This window comes from Homo sapiens, chromosome 3 (genome assembly GCF_000001405.40).
Source record: "Homo sapiens chromosome 3, GRCh38.p14 Primary Assembly".
In the NCBI taxonomy this organism is placed as follows: Eukaryota; Metazoa; Chordata; class Mammalia; order Primates; family Hominidae; genus Homo; species Homo sapiens.
Genome location: NC_000003.12, coordinates 184,272,631 through 184,294,923, shown reverse-complemented (window position 1 = coordinate 184,294,923; position 22,293 = coordinate 184,272,631). Strand labels below are relative to the sequence as shown.

The 22,293-nt window shown below is 51.7% G+C and overlaps 2 protein-coding genes across 4 annotated transcripts in view; both read right to left on the bottom strand.

Moving 5' to 3' along the window:
* Positions 1–1,892: 1,892 nt before the first annotated feature.
* On the bottom strand, positions 1,893–18,902 carry ECE2 (endothelin converting enzyme 2). 3 transcript variants are annotated; one of them, NM_001100120.2, is made up of 19 exons: positions 18,732–18,902; positions 18,219–18,443; positions 17,897–18,032; positions 17,458–17,673; positions 16,875–16,999; positions 16,611–16,757; positions 16,367–16,432; positions 10,951–11,139; positions 9,819–9,961; positions 9,332–9,446; positions 6,977–7,087; positions 5,389–5,487; positions 5,206–5,283; positions 4,566–4,669; positions 4,257–4,367; positions 4,064–4,131; positions 3,694–3,884; positions 3,485–3,580; positions 1,893–2,862 (listed from the first exon to the last, which is right to left on the bottom strand). In NM_001100120.2, the coding sequence occupies exons 1-19, from the start codon at positions 18,768–18,770 to the stop codon at positions 2,686–2,688; spliced, it is 2,436 nt and encodes an 811-aa protein (NP_001093590.1). In that variant the 5' UTR covers positions 18,771–18,902; the 3' UTR covers positions 1,893–2,685. The 3 variants fall into 3 exon arrangements, with proteins under 3 accessions (NP_001093590.1, NP_001093591.1, NP_001032401.1); NM_001100121.2 differs by having other exon boundaries at positions 18,357–18,443; NM_001037324.3 differs by lacking the exon at positions 18,219–18,443.
* Positions 1,893–22,293, bottom strand: part of EEF1AKMT4-ECE2 (EEF1AKMT4-ECE2 readthrough) — a 43,360-nt gene continuing 22,959 nt past the window's right edge. The window contains exons 3-19 of the mRNA NM_014693.4: positions 17,897–18,032; positions 17,458–17,673; positions 16,875–16,999; positions 16,611–16,757; positions 16,367–16,432; positions 10,951–11,139; positions 9,819–9,961; positions 9,332–9,446; positions 6,977–7,087; positions 5,389–5,487; positions 5,206–5,283; positions 4,566–4,669; positions 4,257–4,367; positions 4,064–4,131; positions 3,694–3,884; positions 3,485–3,580; positions 1,893–2,862 (exon numbers count right to left, since the gene is read on the bottom strand). Coding sequence (NP_055508.3) covers positions 2,686–2,862; positions 3,485–3,580; positions 3,694–3,884; positions 4,064–4,131; positions 4,257–4,367; positions 4,566–4,669; positions 5,206–5,283; positions 5,389–5,487; positions 6,977–7,087; positions 9,332–9,446; positions 9,819–9,961; positions 10,951–11,139; positions 16,367–16,432; positions 16,611–16,757; positions 16,875–16,999; positions 17,458–17,673; positions 17,897–18,032 — 2,172 coding nt within the window. The 3' untranslated portion in view covers positions 1,893–2,685. The remainder of the gene's footprint in view (positions 2,863–3,484; positions 3,581–3,693; positions 3,885–4,063; positions 4,132–4,256; positions 4,368–4,565; positions 4,670–5,205; positions 5,284–5,388; positions 5,488–6,976; positions 7,088–9,331; positions 9,447–9,818; positions 9,962–10,950; positions 11,140–16,366; positions 16,433–16,610; positions 16,758–16,874; positions 17,000–17,457; positions 17,674–17,896; positions 18,033–22,293) is intronic.

Genomic DNA, 22,293 nt, shown 5'->3' with positions numbered 1-22,293 from the left:
ACCAGCAGCAATCATAACCAGAGCTTCACTCCTCCCCTTCCACACTGAACAAACTCATCCCTACTTGCACCTTGGAGAGCACTAAGGTTTTTTTGTGTTTTTTTGTTTGTTTTTGAGATGGAGTCTCGATCTGTAGCCCAGGCTGGAGTGCAGTGGCGCAATCTCAGCTCACTACAACCTCCACCTCCCAGGTCCCGGTTCAAGTAATTCTGCCTCAGCCTCCCAAGTAGCTGGGATTACAGGCACACACCACCACGCCCAGCTAATTTTTGTATTTTTAGTAGAGATGGGGTTTCACCATATTGGCCAGGCTGGTCTCAAACTCTGGACCTTGTGATCAGCCCGCCTCGGCCTCTCAAAGCTCTGGGATTATAGGTTTGAGCCACCGCGCCCAGCCTAAAGCACTGAGTTTTAAAGAGAATTGAGATTGAGGCTGGGTGTTGTGGCTCACGCCTGTAATCCCAGCACTTTGGGAGGCTGAGGCAGGTGGATCACTTGAGGTCAGGAGTTTGAGACCAGCCTGGCCAACATGGTGAAACCCCATTTCTACTAAAAATACAAAAATTATCTGGGCGTAGTGGCACGCGCCTGTAATCTCAGCTACTCAGGAGGCTGAGGCAGGAGAATCACTTGAACCTGGGAGGTGGAGGTTGCACCACTGCACTCCAGCCTGGGTGACAGAGTGAGACTCCATCTCAAGAATAAAAAATAAAGAGAATTGAGATTGGACTCTTTCCACTGTTTTGCTGTAGTTCTCATTTCATAGGTGAAGACACTGAGGTTCATGGAGTTTAGGGAACAGGCTGAAGCTCACAAAACTATCAGAGCTTCCATTTCAGTCCAGCTCTCTTTGACTGCAGTGAAGTAGTTAGGGATAGATCTGTAAAATGGAGACTAGAGTATTTGAAAAGGGCGGTTGTTGCAAGGATTAGGTGAGCTCATGAAGGCGAAAGTGCCAACAGAAGAAGAGTCACCTAAGGGAAGAAGAAACTTCTCATTCATCAGTTTTGTTTTGTTTTTTTCCTAAGAGATGAGGTCTTGCTATGTTGCCCACGCTGGATTTGAACTCCTGAGCTTAAGCAATCCTCCCACCTCAGCATCCCGAGTAGCTGGGACTACAGGCGCACCACCTCACCTATCTTATTCATTTGTGTATCACCAGTGCCTGACACATTGTTGATAAAGCAATTTTTTTTGAAAATAAGCCTATGAATGTATAAATTAATAAATGGATGAATGAATAAAGAAATGAGCCACCTAGCACAGGTGCCTGGAACACAGGAGGTATTCAATCAACGTTCCTTTTCCCTCCCTCACTCTGGAGGGTAGAGGCCATATATGCAGTCTCTGTGCCTGGCACTTGGTAGGCCTAATGAGTGTGTGTAGGTGGAATGGCTGACTCTTGGGAGCTCTGAGCCTTTGAGGCTAGAAGGAAATGTTTGTCTTTTCAGCTACAAGCAGAGGCCAGGGCTTTGAGCTCTGGGAGCTCAGGGAGTGATATGCCCAGGACTTCCCACCACTGCAGGGTAAGGGCCGCCCATCTTCCAAGTTGACCCTGGCCCAGTAGTTACCCACACTCAGTGTCAGGCCTGGCTGCACGCACCAGTGGAGGAAAGCAGCAAATCCTTCCAGCTGTAGAACAGCTGGGGATGAGGCTATGGCCACCAGTTAGCAGACAATGTATTCTGCCCAGTCAGACTCAACTTCCTTCCATTCCTCCATCCTGCCTCTCTTTCTCTGTCTTCTCTGGGCTTCAAATCTCAGTCCCCTGTATCCACTAGTGAGTAAATGAGCACTGACGACAGTGGCTGGCATACAGTAGTTGCTCTATAGACGCTGGTGGAATGAGTGAATGGATACATGAAAACAGGACTGAAGGAAGAGAGACAGGCTGACGGATGCATGTCTGTTTATTGGCACAGGGTCCTATAAGGGCCAAGACCACACCCTCCCACCCTCTTTTCTGTAAAAATAAACTCTGTTCTTCCTTTTCCCTGCTCTATCTGCTTTCCTGCTTTGTCCAGGGAGAATCAATCATTTGCTAAGGCTTGTGCCCTAAGACACAGGAACCAGTACCCGCTACACATATGCACTTCCCCTCTCAGCCCAGGGAAACAGTGGGCAGCAGGAGGCTTTCAGAGGCCCTTGGGCTTCCACTAGGAGCTGTCAGTGAAGGTCAGCAGCAGCACTGGGAGCAGTGGCACAAGGAGCACAGGGTGAGGTGGGGGTAGCCCGTGAGGGTGAGCCAGACAGAGCTGAGTCCACCCCTAAGTGCGCACTGAGTGAGCCTGGGGAGAAGTCCAGGAGGTACACCACCCAGGCCTGTGGGTCACAGTGGGGCAGGCACGGCAGGCCCCATGGCCGCCAGGCTGAGTGAGCCTGGGGACAGAAGAGGCAGACTCCTTCCTATGGGAACTGGCCTCCCCACCCAGACCTCTTCCAGGCAGGGTGACACGGAAAGATGTCACAGTGAATGGTGGGGGCTCTGCTGGAGGCAGGGGCACCCCCAAAGCAGAGGCACAATGTGGTGATTGAGGAGGGTCTGTACTCATGTCACCTGTGGGGGGGAGGGACTAGACCCAGCCCAGCTTGCATTTGCTTCCTCCCAACCCAAGAGCAAACAGCTTTGTCAGGAGAGCTGCCCCAGGTCTGGTGACAGCTGGCCATTTCTCCCCTGATCCAGGTCTACCACACCTCACACAGCTGCCCTGGGTTCATGGGGGAGCCGACAGGGCAGCCGAAGTGCCGCAGGAAGTCACGGGAGTTGGAGAGAGTGCCCAGCACGCGGAAGCGGGCAGGGCTGTGGGGGTCGGTCACCAGCCCCTCGTGAGAGCTCTCTGGTGTGCGGACCGAGCACCACACCTGCGGGCCAGGACAGACATGGGGGCATATGGTGTCTAGTGTGGAGCCGGGCCTTAGAGTCAGCTACAGCCATCCCAGGGGCACAAACCACCACCGCTGCAGCCCCTCCCAAGTTCCTTCCAAAACTGCCCTGGACATCGGGTTGCCCAGCATGGACATGACGAGGGGAAAAAGCGGAGCCCCAGAAGCTGCCTGCTGTGGCTGCCCAGCGGAGGCTCTGCCTGGGTCCTTGCTCTGCCACTTACTCTATTCCTGGGCAGCCCTGGACAGGCCACTCTGCGTCCCGAGCTTTCGTTTCCTGCATGTCTCCCTCACAGGAACAGCGTGAGGATGAACGTTTGCCCCCTTCGCCACCCTGTGCCCCGCAAGCACGACAACCTTGCCCTTTGAACTATGCGAAATCCTACCAAGGCATTCTCCCGCTCAGGCCTCTTCAGGCTGCCTTTGTGGGCCCTGGCTGGCCGGAGGCTCTGGGCATGGGCCTTCCCAGCCCACCTTTCATGCCCCAGCCTCAGCCCCATTCACCAGCCCGTTTGACACGTGCCCCAGAGTTCTCCTAATGACATACTCAGGAGGGAGCAGGACAAAGGGGCAGACCCCAGGCCTTCCGAGAGGGTGATACCTGGGCAAATCCCACGAAGAAGAGCTGGTGGTTGGTGAGCCCCACGGCTGGCAGTTGCTGCTCCTCCCCATGCTTTCTCAGCCATGCTTTGTAAGCCTGGGGACAGAACAGTGGGCAACAAGCCCATCCAGGCCTGCCCCCACCCACCCGGCACCTTTCACCCCAGGCCAGCAGGCCTCAGCCGCTGGAGGGCTGGTCAGGCCACTCACATTGTAGGCAGCCTTCAGCCCCCCGTTGTCAGCAATGTTCTCCCCCAGCGTCTGGCGGCCGTTGAGCCTCTCCCCATTGACCTGGTATTGATTGTACTGTTCCTCCATGCAGGCCGTGTGGTTCCGGAAGGCTGCCAGGGACTCATTCTGCCACCAGGGCCGCAGGTTCCCTTCTTTGTCATACTCGCGCCCTGAGGAGAACTCACCTTTGCACCCCACCAAAACCAGAGCTCGTCTCTTGGGGGCAGCAGTGCCCCCACCAGCCCTGGTCCACAGACTTCAGGGCCCTTGGGGCTACATCAATGTCCCAAGGCCTTGCAGGAGCCACTGGGAATTCTAGGCTAGAGGGGACGACTCCATGGGCCCCTACCTTGGTCATCAAAGGCATGCGTCAACTCATGGCCCATGACCACACCGATGCCACCGAAGTTCAGGGCCCTGGTGGGTGAGGAATAGCAAGTGAGGACATGGCGGGGGTACTTCTGAATCCCACCTCCAGCCCTGCTCCCAGCTCAACCACAGGCCCAGGCCCCAGCACCCAGCCCCTCCTGCTTCAGACACACTTGGGGTGGTTGCGGGCATAGAAGGGGGCCTGCAGGATGCCAGCGGGGAAGACGATCTCATTCTTAGTTGGAAGGTAGTAGGCATTCACTGTCTGGGGGGTCATGCTCCACCTGGCGGAGGAAGAGTGAGGGGCTGAGGCTCCCGACTCTCCTGACACTGCTCCCCTCCCAACAGCCCTGCCCTACCTCCTGCAAGGGTATGGGGCCGCCGGTCTGGGACCAGTCTTGCCACCCTTTTCCCCCATCCCAGGAACCTTCCCCCACCTCTCCTGCCACCCCTAGTGTCTATGTCCACCCCGTCATTCTCACTGGTCTCGGCTGGGAGGCTTGCGGAGCTGGTCAGCCATAACCTTGGCAGAGAAGTTGTACAAATTCAACATGTTTTGGAAGAAAGAATCTTCAGAAATTTCGTACTGTGGGAAAGGTGGGAAGTAGAAAGAGAGCAAGAGAATCCATTGGAGAAGATAATAGCGCCAGTTTGGCTACTCATTAGTATCTCTCCAAACCTCAGTTTCCTCAACTGTAAAATATCTAGTAAACCATAATTGGCAATATTTAAAGGCCATTTATGTTATGGGTGCTGTTTTTTTACATACTGTATTCATTTATCTCACAACAACCCTATGAGGAAGGCACTAGTAGGACCCCCATTTTACAGAAAATGAAACCAAGGCCTAGAGAGATTTTGTTAAGGTTACAAAGTTAGAGGTAGAAACAGAATTTGATTAGGCTTGACTCCAAATCTTGGCTCGTTAGCACTATATTTCACTGCTGTTTGGCCTGCAGCCTGTCACAGAGCCAACATTTTAACAATGCTGGTTACCTCCATCTGCCTCTAAAAGAAACCGACAAGCACCTCTTTCCCAGTGCTTGAGCCCCAATTTCTAAGCCCAGGGAACAGTGCCCTCTACAGGGCTGAAGTTCAGTACTGATGAGCGTAGGTACTCACCCCGTCATAAACATCATCCAGCTCTTTGGGCTCCAGGATAAAGTCTGGGAAACCAATCATATCATAGATGGCATCTGCCTGAAGAGACCAGGTTAAGGGTTTGTTTCCTTCCCCAGGTTCCTAGCAAAACTGTATCCTTGAACCCCACCTCAAGATGGCGCCCCAACCCTAGCCACCGCTCACTTTCTCCTTGGCTGCCTGGCGGGTCTTCTCATCCATCCAAACCAGCTGTCCCAGGGCCTCCTCAAATGCGGTCCGGATTTCGCTGATCATCCCCTCTGCCTGGGAGGGAGGAGGTAAAGTCAGCCTTCCCCTGCACTGAATGCATCCCTGCCCCACCCATCCACCCTTGGTGCCCCATCCCTGTCCACCCAGGGGAAATGGGAACGTCTAGACTAAAGAAATACGGCTGAGCACCTGGAGACGATGAGAAGGAAACACCATTTGTAAAGGTACTGGGATTGTGGCTGGCTTTTTTCTTAATTAAGTACACATTTTAATTGACAATAAGTTCATCAAATTATATTATAATTTAATATAGTGCAATGATTTTTTTTTTTTTTTGAGACAGAGTCTGGCTGTGTTACCTAGGATGGAGTGCAGTGGCGCAATCTCGGCTCACTGCAACCTCCGCCTCCCGAGTTCAAGCGATTCTCCTGCCTCAGCCTCCCAAGTAGCTAGGATTACAGGCTCCCGCCATCATGCCCGGGTAATTTTTGTATTTTTAGTAGAGCTGGGGTTTCACCATCTTGGCCAGGTTGGTCTTGAACTCCTGACCACGTGATCCACCCGCCTCAGCCTCCCAAAGTGCTGGGATTACAAGCGTGAACCACCACGCCCAGCCTAGTGCAATGATTTTTATCTGATTATGAAAAGAGGACATTCACAGAAAATTTGGAAAATTGAGAATTGAAGAACAGACCAGTTATAAAGCACTCATTCATAGATAAGTTCTTTTAACATTTTGATTACCCACTTCTAGAGTTTTTCCCTCCCCTGATATGCATATAAAATATGGAATTATGTTGTATAGGGTATATATTTTTTGTAACCTACTTTTTTTGCTGAAAGATATATCAGCCATTTAAGGATCCTCACAACCCATCCTAACCACAATTTATTTTTCCTTTACCCTATAGTTGGACATTTAACCTGTTCTCATTTTCTGCTATTATAAACAACATTGCCATAAAAACCATAAACATCCTTACAGGTAATACTTTAAGCACATCCATTATCATATCCTAATAAATAAATATTTCTTCTAGTTATATAGTTAAACATAAACACATAGACAACTTTAAAGGACTCTTATAATCCCACTGCCCAAAGCAGCACTACTTCATTTGTTCATCAATTTACATCCAGTTGTTTTTCTTTTCTTTTCTTTTTTTTTTTTTTTTTTTTTTGAGACAGAGTTTTGCTCTGTCGCCCAGGCTGGAGTGCACTGGCGCGATCTCGGCTCACTGCAACCTCCGCCTCCTGGGTTCAAGTGATTCTCCTGCCTCAGCCTCCCAAGTAGCTGGGATTACAGACACCCGCCACCACGCCCGGCTAATTTTTTGTATTTTTAGTAGAGACCAGGTTTCACCATGTTGGCCAGGCTGGTCTCGAACTCCTGACCCCATGATTCACCCGCCTTGGCCTCCCAAAGTGCTGGGATTACCGGCGTGAGCCACCGCGCCTGGCTCCCGTTGTTTTTCTATATGTCTGCACATACATGAACAGTCAATTTTGAGGGCATAGTGTTGAAAGAATCTTGTAGACTCACAATTTCTTTGCTTTGCCGGTCAAACGTGGCCTTCACGAAGAGGGACCCCAAAGCAAAGCCAAGGGCGTCATCCGTGTTGGAGATGCAGGTCTGCCACCTCGGCACACAGGACTGTTAAAGGACAAAGAGCCAGGACCCTAGAGATGGCTGTGTCCTCCAGTCAGAGGGCCTTTCTCTGTCACTGGGGCTAGCAGCCCTTCTCAGCTCTGGACAAGAGTCCTGGGTTTGCTCAGTGCCACATCTGTCTTTTTTTGAGACAGGGTCTTGCTCTGTCACCCAGGCTGGAGTATAGTGGTGCAATCACTGCTCACTGCAACCTCTGTCCCCTGGGCTCAAGCGATCCTCCCACCTCAGCCTCTCGAATAGCTGGGACCCCAGGCACATGCCACCACACCCAGCTATTTTCTTTTGTAATTTTAGTACAGAAGGGGTCTCACCATGTTTCCCAGGCTGGTCTTGAACTCCTGAGCTCAAGTGATCTGCCCGCTTTGGCCTCCCAAAGTGCTGGGATTAAAGGCATGAGCCACCGTGCCCGGCCCACAACTAATTTTATATCCAGTCAGTCCCCCATGCAAGAAACCTGGGAGTCACTCAGCTTCCTCCATCTCCCTAACCCCCCACATTCAGTCTATCAGCAGTTTCTACTACTTTGACTTCTTTTTTTTTTTTTTTGAGATGGAGTCTCACTCTGTCACCCAGACTGGAGTGCAGTGGTGCGATCTCAGCTCACTGCAAGCTCCACCTCCCGGGTTCACGCCATTCTCCTGCCTCAGCCTCCCGAGTAGCTGAGACTAAAGGCGCCCGCCACCACGCCCGGCTAAATTTTTTGTCTTTTCAGTAGAGACGGGGTTTCACCGTGTTAGCCAGGATGGTCTTGAACTCCTTACTTCAAGTGATCCGCCCACCTTGACCTCCCAAAGTGCTGGGATTACAGGCATGAGCTACGGCGCCCTGCCTGCTTTGATTTCTTAATCATCTTTCCCATCCACTCAAGTGGACGGGGAAAATGATTACCACTTCCCTGACCTATAACACTATCATCTTGAACTCCTGAGCTCAAGCACTCCACCCACCTCAGCCTCCCAAAATGCTGATTACAGGCACGAGCCACCACACTCAGTCTGCAATTGCCTTTTTTTTTTTTTTTTTTTAAACAGAGTTTTGCTCTTGTAGCCCAGGCTGGAGTGCAATGACGCAGTCTCAGGTCACTGCAACCTCCAGGTTTAAGTGATTCTCCTGCTTCAGCCTCCCGAGTAGCTGGGATTACAGTTGCTTGCCACCACGCCCAGCTAATTTTTTGTATTTTTAGTAGAGATGGGGTTTTACCGTGTTGGCAAGGCTGGTCTTGAACTCCTGACCTCAGGTGATCCACCTGCCTTGGCTTCCCAAAATGCTGGGATTACAGGCATGAGCCACCAAGCCTGGCCTGCAATTGCCTCTTAACTGGACACCCTGACTCCATTCTCATCCCCGCTTCCCTGCTGCTCCCCTCCATCTTCCATTTAGCCACCAGAAATATCATTTCATACATAACCCAACTGTGTTTCTCCTCTCCATGCTACTCCCATGGAGCCCCATCTGTGAAAGAATCAAGGCCGGACTTCCCAATACAATATTCAGATCCCTTCCCAAGTGCCCCATGCCCACCTTACCAAACCCCGTCTCTCAGTTGCCCTCTTCTCAAGCTCATGCCAGAACGTGTGTAAAGCCACCATGCTCCTTTTGGCCTCTAGGAATTTGCACATGCCGTTCCTTGTCCCTGGAATGCCCTTCTCCCCGGCTTTCTTGGTGAACTTTTCCATCACATGGCACCTCTCAGAGAAGGCTTCTCTGATGCCCTTCCCCACCATCCCCCCAGGTGAAATGTGCTGTCCCACCTCTGTCCTATAGCAGAAAAGTCTTTCACTCAGTGTGAGCAGTTATCACCACAAAATATAATGTATTTGTTTACATGTCCACTCCCCCCACTTAATGGGGCATCTTGAAACTAAATACTCACTTATTTATTATATCCTCTCCATCCTCCTCATCAAAGCCGAGTGCCTATACATACCATGTACTGTGCAGGTGCTTCACTTACATTAACTCAGCTAATACTCTTCCTGACAACCCTCCAAGTTATTCCTGCTTTACAGAGCAGGAAATGGAGAGTCAGAGAGGCTAGGTGATCTGCCCAAGGTCCTACAGGCTAGAAAATGAATGAGTTGGGATTGAAACGCAAGTCGGCTTGCTTCCAAATTCTGCGCTCCATACTATGCACCTGTGCACCATGAGGCACATGGTGCCTGTCACACTGAAGGTATGCAGCATCGGTTAGACTGGATCAGAACGTGGAGGCAAAATCAGAAAGCCCACCTTCTTAGTGCCATAGAGGGTCTCCAGCAGCTTCTCTTGTGCAGACTCAAAGCGTCGGTCCAGGCTTGAGGTTGTCTTTTGCACCAGGTTCCAGATCAGGTAATTGTTCAGGATGCTGACAACCAGACCAGAAAATAAGAAAAGGGCAGGTGGGATGCCCTTCACACCCCTCAAACCAGCCCCCAGGAACATGCAAGTTGCAGGAGTCCCGAGAGGCATATGTGGAAGCTGTCCCGGGGTTCCTCTTTGGTCCCGGGGCCACACACCTGCCTGTAGAGGTCAGGTTGGAGAGCAGTGGGGGGACAGAGATCACAGGGAGCACCCTGCAACCCTAGCGCAGAGGAAAAGCCCATAGACATTCTGATTCAATGTTTGGAAGGCCCATAGCATTACCAAATGTTGTTCTGTGTGGCTGGGCCTGTCCATTATGCCCAGCCTTGCTGGAGACCTCCACAGAACCCACCCTCACCCTGGGCTACCCCCACACCTTGGTTCCGTGCGGTTGATGAGCTCTGACACCTGCTGCAAATAATCCATCCCATACACCACCACAGGCTCAGAGTCACTCAACTCCAATGGTGACAGCAAGAAAGACAGGAACTCAAGCCAGTCCATGGAGGGCGCCAGAGCCTGAAAGAAAAAAATCTCAGGCCTTGCCTGCCCGACTCGCTTCCAGCAGAACCCTCCCCCACTGTATGCTGTAGCCTGGGAGCCCTTCCCATTGCCATAGCAACAACTACTGGCTTCATGGTGTATCCTTCCTGTAATATACCCTTTTCCAGGCCTGGACACCTCCAATCTGGGAGCCCAACCACTTATTATACAAGGATAACCACTACATGTGACATTCAGCTGGGGCCTAGATATTCAAATATTTTCCTAACAATTGATAAAATACCACTCCCAACACCCTGCACGTACTGGCTTCTCCTCCAGAACCACACTCCATCCCAACTTTTCCATAATCCAACATCTAAAGTGTTAATGGCCTGGCACAGTACGGGTCCCCCAGTGGAAACTTTCACTTCTATTTTTTTTTTTTTTTTTTTTGAGATGGAGTTTCGCTCTTGTCACCCAAGCTGGAGTGCAATGGCGCAATCTCAGCTCACTGCAACCTCCGCCTCCCAGGTTCAAGCGATTCTTCTACCTCAGCCTCCCGAGTAGCTGGGATTACAGGCATGTGCCACCACACCCGGCTAATTTTTTATTTTTAGTAGAGATGGGGTTTCACCATGTTGGCTAGGCTGGTCTTGAACTCCCAACCTCAGGCGATCCACCCGCCTCGGCCTCCCAAAGTGCTGGGATTACAGATGTCAGCCACCATGCCCAGCCTATTCTGATTGTTTTGTGGACATCTCATACAAACTGTTACACATTTTTAACACAATCCCTCCATGCATCCCCAGGCAAGAAAGGGACCAAAGGATGACCCAGTGAGAGGTGGCCTAAATGGACACCATTTTTTTCCCCAGGACAGCAGCAGTGCAGCTGGGGAGCACAGAAAAGCAAGGGAATGAGGAAAGGACTGGCTGCCTTGGGGAGATGGCATGGAGGGAAGCTGGGTGGTCCATGCCAAGGCTGGCCCCTCTCAGTTGTCTCCAGCCCCCTGCCTGCCCCACCTGCAGCTCCGAAATGCTCATCTTGTGGTAGATCTTCTCCTCGTCGCGCCGCTGGTCCTGGGGCACTGTGATGTTGGCCAGCTGTATCTCCAACTCCAGCACCTGCTGCATCTGCTCCCTCGTGGAGGTGGGCCGCCCACCCAGCAGCATCCCCAGTTCCTCCATGTAATCCAGATAGGCAGTGAGCACCTGTCAAGGCCCGGGTGATCCTCAGAGCCCAGCAACAAGTCCTGCCCAAGGCTGAGATCTGTTCTTACCACCACCTCTGCCCAATATCTCTTCTGCTTGATCCTTCTGGAAGCCTTTCTGGATGACCTGTTTCATTTCTGACACACTGCTTACCTCCATTGGCTAAGTATTGTTTACTTACTTCTTCTTCTTCTTTTTTTTTTTTTTTTTTTTTTTTTTTTTTGAGATGGAGTCTCACTCTGTTGCCCAGGCTGGAGTGCAGTGGCGCGATCTTGGCTCACTGCAACCTCCACCTCCTGGGTTCAAGTGATTCTCCTGCTGCAGCCTCCCAAGTAGCTGGGACTACAGGCGTGTGCCACCACGCCTGGCTAATTTTTTGTATTTTTAGTAGAGACGGGGTTTCACCATGTTAGCCAGGCTGGTCTCGAACTCCTGACCTCAGGTGATCTGCCCGCCTCGGCCTCTCAAAGTGCTGGGATTACAGGCATGAGCCACTGCACCCGGCCATGTTTACTTACTTCTGTACTTGTTTATCATCTATTTCTCCAAGGAGAAGGTGAGTTCCAGCAGAGCATTGTTCCAAGTTACAGCAGCTTACTCACTGCTGTCTCTAGGGACTAGAACACAGAGTAAGTGCTCTGCAAATGTCTGTCCAGCAGATGGGCCTACTTCCCATACTGCTTTGCCTTCTCATTTCCTAGATCCCTGCTAGTTGTCCCAGCCCATCAGTGACCATGTGCCTTCTCTGAACAGCTGACTGGACCTCACAGGGGATCGGGGCCATGGTGTCCTCAGGCCTCTATTACCTCCCATCCTGCCAGGCCTCAAGCTAGCTGCTTTCTCCACTACCCGCTGGTCTCCAAGGGAGAGAAAAGCATGGAGAAGAAATATTTAGTGACCACTTCTGCAGACATACATCAGACTCTCTATTAGAGGCTTTCCATACAGTGTATCTTTTCCTCCCCACACAGCAACTTCATGAAGTGAAGATGAGTCCCATTTCACACCCCAGGGCAGAAGCTTGGGAAGATGACACGGCTTGACTTCCATCACAAACTAGCAGATGGCAGAGTGAGAATGTGGCCCAGGCCTGATGACCCCAGGGCCATGGCGGCCCTGGCCCTGCTCGGGTCCAGTACAAACTCATGTGGCCTCACCCCTGCTGGCCCTGAGGCTCCATGAAAGCAGGGCTGGGTTTGCTTTGTTCACCACTGTAATTTCAGACCCAAGCGCAGCTGTCTGCCACAGAGTAGGTGCTCAATAAATATCTGTTGAATAACAGGGCGAAAACCTGCAAACAGACACTCAACACTGCTCTGTGCCAATTCCCTTAACCCTCCTCCCAGAAACCACTTCCCACTCAACCTGAAGGCCCACCTGGGCTCCACTAATCGCCAAAGGCCATCTCTTCTTCTACTTACCAAGAAGTTTTAGATCCCTTAATATTCATTCTGTGTATTTCAAATTCCTCCTGTCTCTCACCTCTCCTCTTACTTGCTGCTGGCATCAGAGGAAGAGGTTTGAGTACCAATCCCAGTCATCCCAGCTCCTGAGGGGGATGGTTAGCTAAACCAGTGATCTCACCTTACCCCTTCTCTCCCTACCTCCTCACCTTCAGCTTAGTGCTTACTTTTGAGACTCTCCTGAACCCTGCTTTACTCTTAGTTTTTTTGTTGTTGTTTGTTTGAGATGGCGTCTCCCTCTGTCGCCCAGGCTGAAGTGCAGGTGTGTGATCTCGGCTCACTGCAACCTCCGCCTCCCGGGTTCAAGCGATTCTCCTGCCTCAGCCTCCCCAGTGGCTGGGATTACAGGCGCGGGCCACCACGCATGGCTAATTTTTGTATTTTTAGTAGAGACAGTGTTTCGCCATGTTGGCCAAGCTGGTCTCGAACTCCTGACCTCAGGTAATCTGCCCACCTCAGCCTCCCAAAGTGCTGGGGCCACAGGCGTGAGCCACTGCACCCAGCCTACTCTTAGTTTTCATCCTATCTTAACCTTTTGTGTTGCATCTTTCTCTAGATCCCAGCACAGGAGGCTTCCTGAAGGCAACCAGTGACATGCTGACAGCCAAACCGAAGTCTTTCCTCTTGCCCCTTCCAAAGGGTTGAAGGATGTGGTTCTCTCCCAAATTGTAAAAATTATCTCCTCCCCTGACTCAGATGATGTCAAAATCACACATCTGTTCACATCACTTTTGAGTTTCCCTTTCCATTTCTTTCGGGATGAATCCTAAATTTGGCCCACAATGCTCCTGCATAGTGTGAGGCTATGGGCCTGTCCAGAAGGCCTTGGCCCGCATGCCCCTCCTGCTCCCTCATCCATTGAGAATGGCCAGTGGGCTGGCCATATGCCTTCCCACCTTGGAGCCTTTGCATAACCTGTTGCCTTTGTAGAGCCCTCTCCCTTCATTGCAGCCTATCCGCACCCTGGAACTAGGCAGGTTCCTGGTCACACTTGCTCTCAGAACCCTATGCTTCTCCTCTATAATAGTCCCAACAACTGGAAACAGGACAACTGTGTAGCGAACTGTTTTATGCCTTCTCCTCCACTCAGAGGGTAGTAGAAGTGTCTTGTTCACCATATGCCTAGAGGAGGGTCTGGCCAAGGGATGCTCAGCAGATGTTTCTGAATGAATGACAGAAGGACAAATGGTTGTCCTACTCCACAGCAATCTCTTTTGCTGACTCTCCCACTGCCCTTAAAATACAAGGATCTCCTTCTGTCCTTTCTCTGTCCTCCTCCTGTCTCACCTCTTCAAAGCCTTTGTTTAGGTTTCTTTTTCCTTTTCTTTCTTTTTTTTTTTTTTGAGACAGAGTCTTGCTCTGTTGCCCAGGCTGGAGTGCAGTGGTGCCATCTCAGCTCACTGCAACTTCCACCTCCCAGGTTCAAGCGATTCTCCTGCCTCGGCCTTCCAAGTAGCTGGGATTACAGGCACCCGCCACCACGTCGGGCTAATTTTTGTATTTTTAGTAGAGATGGGGTTTCACCATGTTAGTCAGGCTGGTTTCAAACTCCTGACCTCAAGTGATCCACCTGCCTTGGCCTCCCAAAGTGCTGGGATTACAGGTGAGAGCCACCACACCCGGCCCAATTTTTGTATTTTTAGTAGAGATGGGGTTTCACCATGTTGGCCAGCTGGTCTCAAATTCCTGACCTCAAGTAATCAGGTCGCCTTGGCCTCCCAAAGTGTTTGGATTACAGACACCCTGCCTGGCCTGGTTAGGTTTCTAAGGAGATGCCCCTCAGGCCTCTGGGTCCTTTCACGCTTATTCTCTCTTCAGGACTCCACACAGCTTTCCCAGCTGCCTGCTGACCTCTCTGTATGTAAGGTGCCCAGGTCCCATCAAACTCACATGTCTAAAAGGAGCAGCTCCCACACTCTGATTGAGCATCTGCCACATGCAGGAGCATAAGTTTGTACCCCTAACCTACTCCAAATGCCATATGAGGTTGATGCTATGATCCCCTGTTTACGGATGAGGGAACAGCCTCAGAGAGATTAATCAACTTGCACCAAGCAGCAGAGCTGAGACTGAAATCCAGGTCTGACTCCAAAGTCTCTCCTATTCCTGTGATGTTGCACTGTCTCCTCTTTCTCAATGTACCCTAAGCTGGTTCTTCCTAGAGACACCCCTAATTCCCAAGGGACCCCTCCATTCCACCATCATGAAAGTGTACAGCTTCAGCCATCTTCACCTTTTCCCTCCTCTAACATCCGGGCACCAAGAACTCATGATTCTGACTTGATGATATCGCTTACATCCTCCCCTTCCTACCATTCCTTCTGCCACTCTTTCATTTGGGACCTTCCTGACTCAGAGCACGGAGTACCGCAGATGCTCTTAATTCATCTCCAGGCTTTCTTTCTCACATCTACTCTTCACACCCCAAACAAACTGACTTCCCAAAGCACTGCGCTCCCTCCCTACTTTGGAGCATGCAATGGCTCTCCGGGAGCTACAGAATAAACTCCGTAGTGTGCTATTCAAGGTCCCCTCCATAACCCATTCCTGCCCACCTCTCCAGCCTCTCATCTGCCTTGAGTTCTATATTTTACCACAGTGGACCCCTTGCCATGGTCCAGACACACCTAGCCTTTCCCTCGTCAACACTTTTTTTTTTTTTTTTGAGATGAAGTCTTGTTCTGTTGCCCAGGCTGGAGTGCAGTGGTGCCATCTCAGCTCACTGCAACCTCTGCCTCCTGGATTCAAGCGATTCTCTTTGCCTCAGCCTCCCAAGTAGCTGAGATTACAGGTGCACACCACCATGCCTGGCTAATTTTTGTATTTTTAGTAGAGACGGGTTTTCACCTTGTAGGCCAGCCTGGTCTTGAACTCCTAACCTCAAGTGATCCGCCGGCCTCAGCCTCCCAAAGTGCGGGGATTACAGGTGTGAGCCACTGTGCTCAGCCTCATCAACACTTTTGTTTAAACTGTTCCTTCTTTCTTTTTCTTTCTTTTTTTTTTTTTTTTTTTGAGTCGGAGTCTCTCTCCGTCACCCAGGCTGGAGTGCAGTGGCACAATCTTGGCTCACTGCAACCTCCGCCTCCCAGGTTCAGGCAATTCTCCTGTCTCAGCCTCCCGAGTAGTTGGGATTACAGGTGCCTGCCACCACGACTGGCTAATTTTTGTATATTTAGTAGAGATGGGGTTTCACCTTGTTGGTCAGCCTGGTCTCGAACTCCTGACCTCAGGTGATCCACCCACCTCGGCCTCCCAAAGTGCTGGGACTACAGGCGTGAGCCACCGCACCTGGCCTAAACTTCTTTCTACCCAGCATGCCCTCATCCACTCCTATGTATTCTACAGGACCTGGCTCAAATGCAATCTCTTCAGGAAGACTTTGCTGGCTCCCTAAGTCTCTCCTGAATCCTCAGGACCCTCTTGTGAGCTTTGTTCTCAGCTATCTAGGTCCATGAACCCATCGACACTGAACGCTTCCTGTGGCAATGGCTCGGAAACTTATATCTCAGAATTCCCCCACTGGACCTGGCACACAGTAGGTGTCTATGAAACCTACTAGAAGAATAAGAGGAAGGAAGGAAGGAAAAGGGGAAGAAAGGGAGGGAGGGAGGAAGAAAAGAAGAAAGAAAGGAGGGGCAGTTTGTTCACTAGGTGACAGGATAGGCTCACCTTCCCTGCTCTGACCCTTGGCAAAGGGAAAAGTCAACAGGGATCAGCCCAGCTCAGCCAGGGGTAGGGATGGGGGTTCGGAAGATGTTCCTTACTTTCTCATTGGCAGTTCTGTTTAAGTAGTAATCCCGAGAGGGCAGAAAGAGCCCAGACTGGTCCACCTGCAATGTCAAGGAAAGGAGGTGAGCCCCTCGCTTTCCCCACCATGGGAACCTGAATTCCCGAGCGGGGGTAGGGGTGGGGCCGGGGGGTCAGCCCAGCCTGCCTGTCACAGGAGAGGGAAGTCTGGGCTCAGCAAAGTGTCCCTAAGTCTCTCCCCACCCTTTCCCAGCTCATCACCTGGATAACATTGCTGTTGGAACTCTTAGAGTCGGCACTGATGTAGACGGTGAAGAATGGGGTGGCCCTGTAGGTCCCTGCTACTGCCTTCAACACCTCCATAAAGTTGTCCTGGTCCCAGGGCCCCGTAATGTTCCAACCACCAATCTATGTAGAGACCATAAGTGGAATGATTAGTGCAGGAGCTCCCAAAGCGTTCCTGGGCCATCTCCTCTCTCAAGGCCTCTCCTGCTCCCCTGCCCTCAACCGGCTCAGTGGCCCTACCTTCTCAATGAGGTCTCTCAGTGGCTGGGCTCCCAGCTCCTCAATGCGCTCCACCTGTAGGCAAGATAGGTAGAAGCGCTGTGTCTTCTGCTCAGCTTCACTGCTGGAGTTGAAGGTGGTGTTTTCTGTGGGGCAGAACACAGGATCCAGGTGGCAATTACGTTAACTGCTGAGGGGGAGTCCCTGGCCCTTGCTCGGTTTCTCTCCTTGCCTTGTCAATGAGCAGTCCTGCTAACGCAGACCCAGGAAGAGTGTCTGAAACAGCAAGCCGTGGCTTCCTCTCCCTGTCCATGGAGACCCAAGGATATCTAAGCAGTACAGGCTCCCTGGTGTCTACCACACCACGACAGTGCTCCAAACAGAGTGCAGAGAAGCGGCCCTCCATTGTACCCAGAGTTCTGCCCCCATCAAACCCATCTGCACTTCTCAATAGTCCCCTGCTCTCTGCCTCCCCACCCTCTGGAGTGTTCACAGAACCATCCACTTCCTCATTCATGGACACTGCCTATTTGCTAAGTGCCAGGCCCTGTGCTGGGCACAAGGCACATAGGTGGCCCAAGGCCTCCCTAACAGCCCCACTCACCAAGCAGGTGCTTCAGTATGGCCTGGTTTTGGTCCCAGAGGCTGTTGAAGGTGTTCCAGCGAGAACGCCCATCGGGCAGGGGGTTCCTCCGAATCCAGCCCCCACAGGAGAACTGGTAAAAGTCCTCACAGGGGCTCACCCCTCGGTCCAGGGACTCCAGGATTTTTCCAGCCACTCGAATGCAGGCCTCTGTAAGGCAGGTGCTGTGGGATGGGTCTGTGGTAGGGAACATGGCCGGAGGGTAGGAGACTGTCAGTCTGTCTGTCTGGAAGAGGCAAACTCTGCAAGGGCCATGACAGCAGGAAGGTTGGGAAGAGAAAGCAAAGCCGGGGGCTTTTCTGCAGGGAAGGCTTGGTTCCCACAAGTGAAAATCTTAGAGGCCCTTAGGCCTCCAGAACCCCTAGTTATGAATACTGACGAAGAGTGTGGGCCCACCTACCTCTGTGGTACTGGACCCCTAGGGCCACAAGGCAGCCCAGAAGCAGTGCAGCCAGCAGTAGAGAGGCACCTGCTAAGACCAGCTCCAGCTGCGTGCGTGAGCCTAACAGCTGTCTTGTCCCCTTCTGGAATCCCACCTGGGGAACACAGGGGGACAGAGAGTGACTGAGATGCAGGGCAGGGATCCAAGATTACCAGAGGGTGAAGCCACAGGCAGTTTTCAGAGCCACAGGGTTAACTCTGGGCCCGGGGGCAATGAGGCCAGCCAGTGAGTTGAGCCTTGAGTCTGTTTTGTGCAACGTCACGGCTTAGCATCGCCTCACCATAGTCCTAGAGCAGAGGCCAGAGATGGAGCGGAGGTGGGGGCAGGTGACCCTCCAGAACAGCCCAGAGCTCCTGGGTGTGCCAGGCGTCATGCCAGGGCTGGGGCCTGGTGAGAAAGGGGAAGCCCCCTTGCCCACCTCCATGGCGTCCGGGGAGGCCCCGCCCTCTACGGGGGTCTCGGGTGCGTCTTCATCCCGAAGCGTGGCCCGTTTGTACTCCACCATCTGCCAGACAGTCGGGGTTGCCAACCGAGGTCAGGCAGAGAGGGCTATTTGCCCACGACCCTGCCCCAGTGCTCCCTGCCTCGCGGACCCCTCCGCCCTGCTAAGAGGGCCCTTCCCTTCCCACCTGCCCTGCTCTCGGGCCCGGGGTCTCTCTATCACCCCTCCACCAGGCCCGGGAGGCAGCCTTACCTCCGCGAGCCGGGCACCGCCTGCCCCTCCGCGGCCGACCCCTCTGCCTCGTCCCCCTCCACCCAGTCCCCTCCCGTGGAGCCCGGGGCCCCCACTCACGTTGCTGCCAGCTCCCAGCTCCTGCAGCGCGACGTTCATGGTGGAGTCGGGCCAGGCGGTGATTCAGGGCTCCCGGCAGCTGGCCCGCTCCCGGGCCGCGGCCCCGGTCCCCTGCCCGGCCCCGCCGTCACCAGCCATCACGGCCGCCGCGCAGCACCCCCGCTCGGCCGCGGCCGCCCCCCCCCCCGCCCGAGTCCACCGCCCCACGCGGAGCCCCGCCCGGGGTGGGGGGAGGGTGGGGGAGAGGGAGGAGCGCGCCGAGGCTCTCCGCAGGCTCCAGCTGCCCTCCAGCAACACCGGAGACCCCTCCACGCTTCATGGTCCGCCCCCCATCTCAGCAGCACCCTCCTTCAAGCCACCCATAATTTACTTTCCTAGGAAAAGTAATGAAATTCAACCAGGCCCAGACGTTGCTAATACTCCTTGGCCTACTTCCCCCAAATTTCAGGCTCTCTCCATCCCCTTTAAGCACTTTAGAGAAATTATGCCCTCCTGAGGAACGTCTTCCCCCAGTAGTCCACACAGCCCCTCTTCAGCCGGCAAATACATAGCACACAGGCAGTTCACTCACATTCAGGGTGTGCACGTGGTACCTACCTATGTGCAGAGAACGCATAGACGCCAAGGCGCCAAGGACACGGGCAGGCACGACGCCCAGCACACAGTCCACACACACACGAGATGCCCACAGAATGTACACACACTGCATACTCACACACAGTGTACACACGCACAACACACCCAGAGCCAACACACACGCACACTGTGTTTCTGTATGTACACACACCAAGTGCAGGGGGAGCATACACTCCACACACACACAGCCTACACTGACTCTACTCTTCCATGGCGCTTCAAGACCACACTTCTACTCTCCAAGATAACTGCTGTCATCAGATCGTCTCATAAAGGGAGGGTTACAGATGGTGACAAATTGGCAGGGAAAAAAACAGCCATGCACAGATATTTAAAGAAAAGACGTGCTAACACTTCTAACTTGGGGAAAGCAAACCGTTTTATTTGGGAGATTTACAAGGAGAAAAAAAACTAACACCAAGCAATATTTAACTGAAAAGCAATAGTGTGGCACCCATGCATCTGCCATCTGCCTTCCATATTGTCATTCCTTAATCAGGCCTGGTGTTATTGCAGTCTGTTGCACTGAAAAGTGCCTAGTGTTTTACAATTCAAAAAAAAAAAAAAAAGGAAAAGAGAGTGCGCTTCATCTTCCTCTCCCCATCCTCCACCCCCACTGAGAAAGTACAAGAATTTGACCTGAGAAGGCTTGAGTGGGTAGCAAACACATAATCCATTTCTTTCTTTCTCTCTTTCTTTCTTTCTCTCTCTCTCTTTCTTTCTCTCTCTCTCTTCTTTCCTTTCTTTCTTTCTTTTCTTTCCTTTCTCTCTTTCTTTCTTTCTTTCTTTCTTTCTTTCTTTCTTTCTTTCTTTCTTTCTTTCTTTCTTTCTTTCTTTCATCTTTCTCTCAAGAAGGGTGTCAGCCGGGTGCAGTGGCTCACGCCTGTAATTCCAGCACTTTGGGAGGCCGAGGCGGGTGGATCACGAGGTCAGGAGTTCGAGACCAGCCTGGCCAACATGGTGAAACCCCGTCTCTACCAAAAATACAAAAATTAACCAGGCATGGTGGCGGGCGCCTATAATCCCAGCTACTTGGGAGGCTGAGATGAGAATCGCTTGAACCCAGGGGGGTGGAGGTTGCAATGAGCTGAGATCATGCCACTGCACTCCAGCCTGGGCAACAAAGAGCAAAACTTCATCTCAAAAAAAATAAATAAATAAAATAAGAGAAGGGTGTCTCACTTTGTTGCTCAGGCTGGAGTGCAGTGGCATGGTCATAACTCACTGCAGCCTCAAATTCCTAGGCTCAAGCAATCCTCCCACCTGAGCCTCCCTAGTAGCTGGGACTACAGACACGTGCCACTGTGCCTGGCTAATTTTTAAATTTTTTTTATAGAAACGGGGTCTCACCATCTTGCCCAGGCTGGTCTTGAACTCCAGGCCTTAAGCAATTCTCCCACCTCAGCATCCCAGTGTGCTGGGATTATGGCGTAAGTCACCATGCCTGGCCCATAATCCATTTATTGACACTCACCTCAGTTCTCAGACAACTTGCTGCAGTGGATCTAATGCAGAATGTTCTTGCGGCTGAGAAAGAGTAGATGATGAATGAAGCAGGCTGAGAAGTGTTGCATTTGCTTTTGTTGGCATTTTGCACCCCAAAATTGCATGGTTCTTAAACAGGAGACAGTACAGTACAGTAAGGATAAAAGATTCTGGATCCAGACTCAGTTTCCTCATTTGTAAAATGGAAATGAGAGTACCTACTTCAGGCCACACACGGTGGCTCATGCCTGTAATCCCAGCACTTTGGGAGGCCGAGGTGGGTGGATCACCTGAGGTCAGGAGGTCAAGACCAGCCAGGCCAACATGATAAAACCCTGTCTCTACTAAAAATACAAAAACTTAGCTGGGTGTGGTGGCACGCACCTGTAATCCCAGCTACTCGGGAGGCTGAGACAGGAGAATTGCTTGAACCAGGAGGTGGAGGTTGCATTGAGCCGAGATCGCGCCACTGCACTCCAGCCTGGGCAACAAGAGCAAAACTCTGTCTCAAAAAAAAAAAAAAAAAAGACTAATACCTACTTCAAAGGCTAGTTGTGAGAATTAAATGAAATAGTACTTGTAAAGTATATGGGACAGTGCATGACACATAATGGGCAATGTGTTTTGTTTGTTTGTTTGTTTGTTTGTTTGTTTTGAGACGAAGTCTCGCTCTGTCGCCAGGCTGGAGTGCAGTGGCACGATTTTGGCTCACTGCAACCTCCGCCTCCTGGGTTCAAGCGATTCTCCTGCCTCAGCCTCCTGAGTAGCTGGGACTACACGCACGCACCACCACACCTAGCTAATTTCTGTATTTTTAGTAGAGACGGGATTTCACCATGTTGGCCGGGCTGGTCTTCAATGCCTGACCTCAAGTGATCCACTCACCTTGGCCTCCCAAAGTGCTGGGATTACAGATGTGAGCCACTGCGCCTGGCTTACAGCATTATAATCTTATGAAACCACTGTTATTATACATGCAGTCCATCATTGACATAAAGGTTGTTATGTGGTGCATGATTGCATAATGAAAGCTACTACGTATGGGCCACCTGGCAACAGGATCATTAGAAATATTCCCAGGGTCACTGCAACAGCATACTACAAATAGCAAGTTTAGACAGCACTTTACTATGTGGCAGCCACTGCTCCAAGTGGTTTACATCTTATGCACTCATGACACTTATGAAGCCATTCTACAGATGAGGAAACTGAGACATAGAAACACTCAGAGTTATACAGGTTGTAAGTGGCAGAGCTGGGATTCAAACCCAGGGAGTATGGTTCCTTTCTGGAGTGCAGTTTAGCAATATGAATCAAAAGGTGGCTACACTTCCTCCCTGCATTAGTTGCTAGTGTTTTGCTACATCCCTTCTAGGAAGAATAAGTGGAAATACATAAATTTCCAAGACAGGCAGACTTGGGCTCAAATTTGGGCTCAATT

Coding starts and splice junctions, on each gene's coding strand:
- ECE2 (NM_001100120.2), bottom strand. CDS start 18,770: ATGAACGTCGCGCTGCAGGAGCTGGGAGCTGGCAGCAAC. Junction 16,758..16,874: donor TGAGAGACCTCATTGAGAAG/GTAGGGCCACTG, acceptor GTCTCTACATAG/ATTGGTGGTTGGAACATTAC. Junction 9,962..10,950: donor TGAGCATTTCGGAGCTGCAG/GTGGGGCAGGCA, acceptor TTTTTCTTTCAG/GCTCTGGCGCCCTCCATGGA.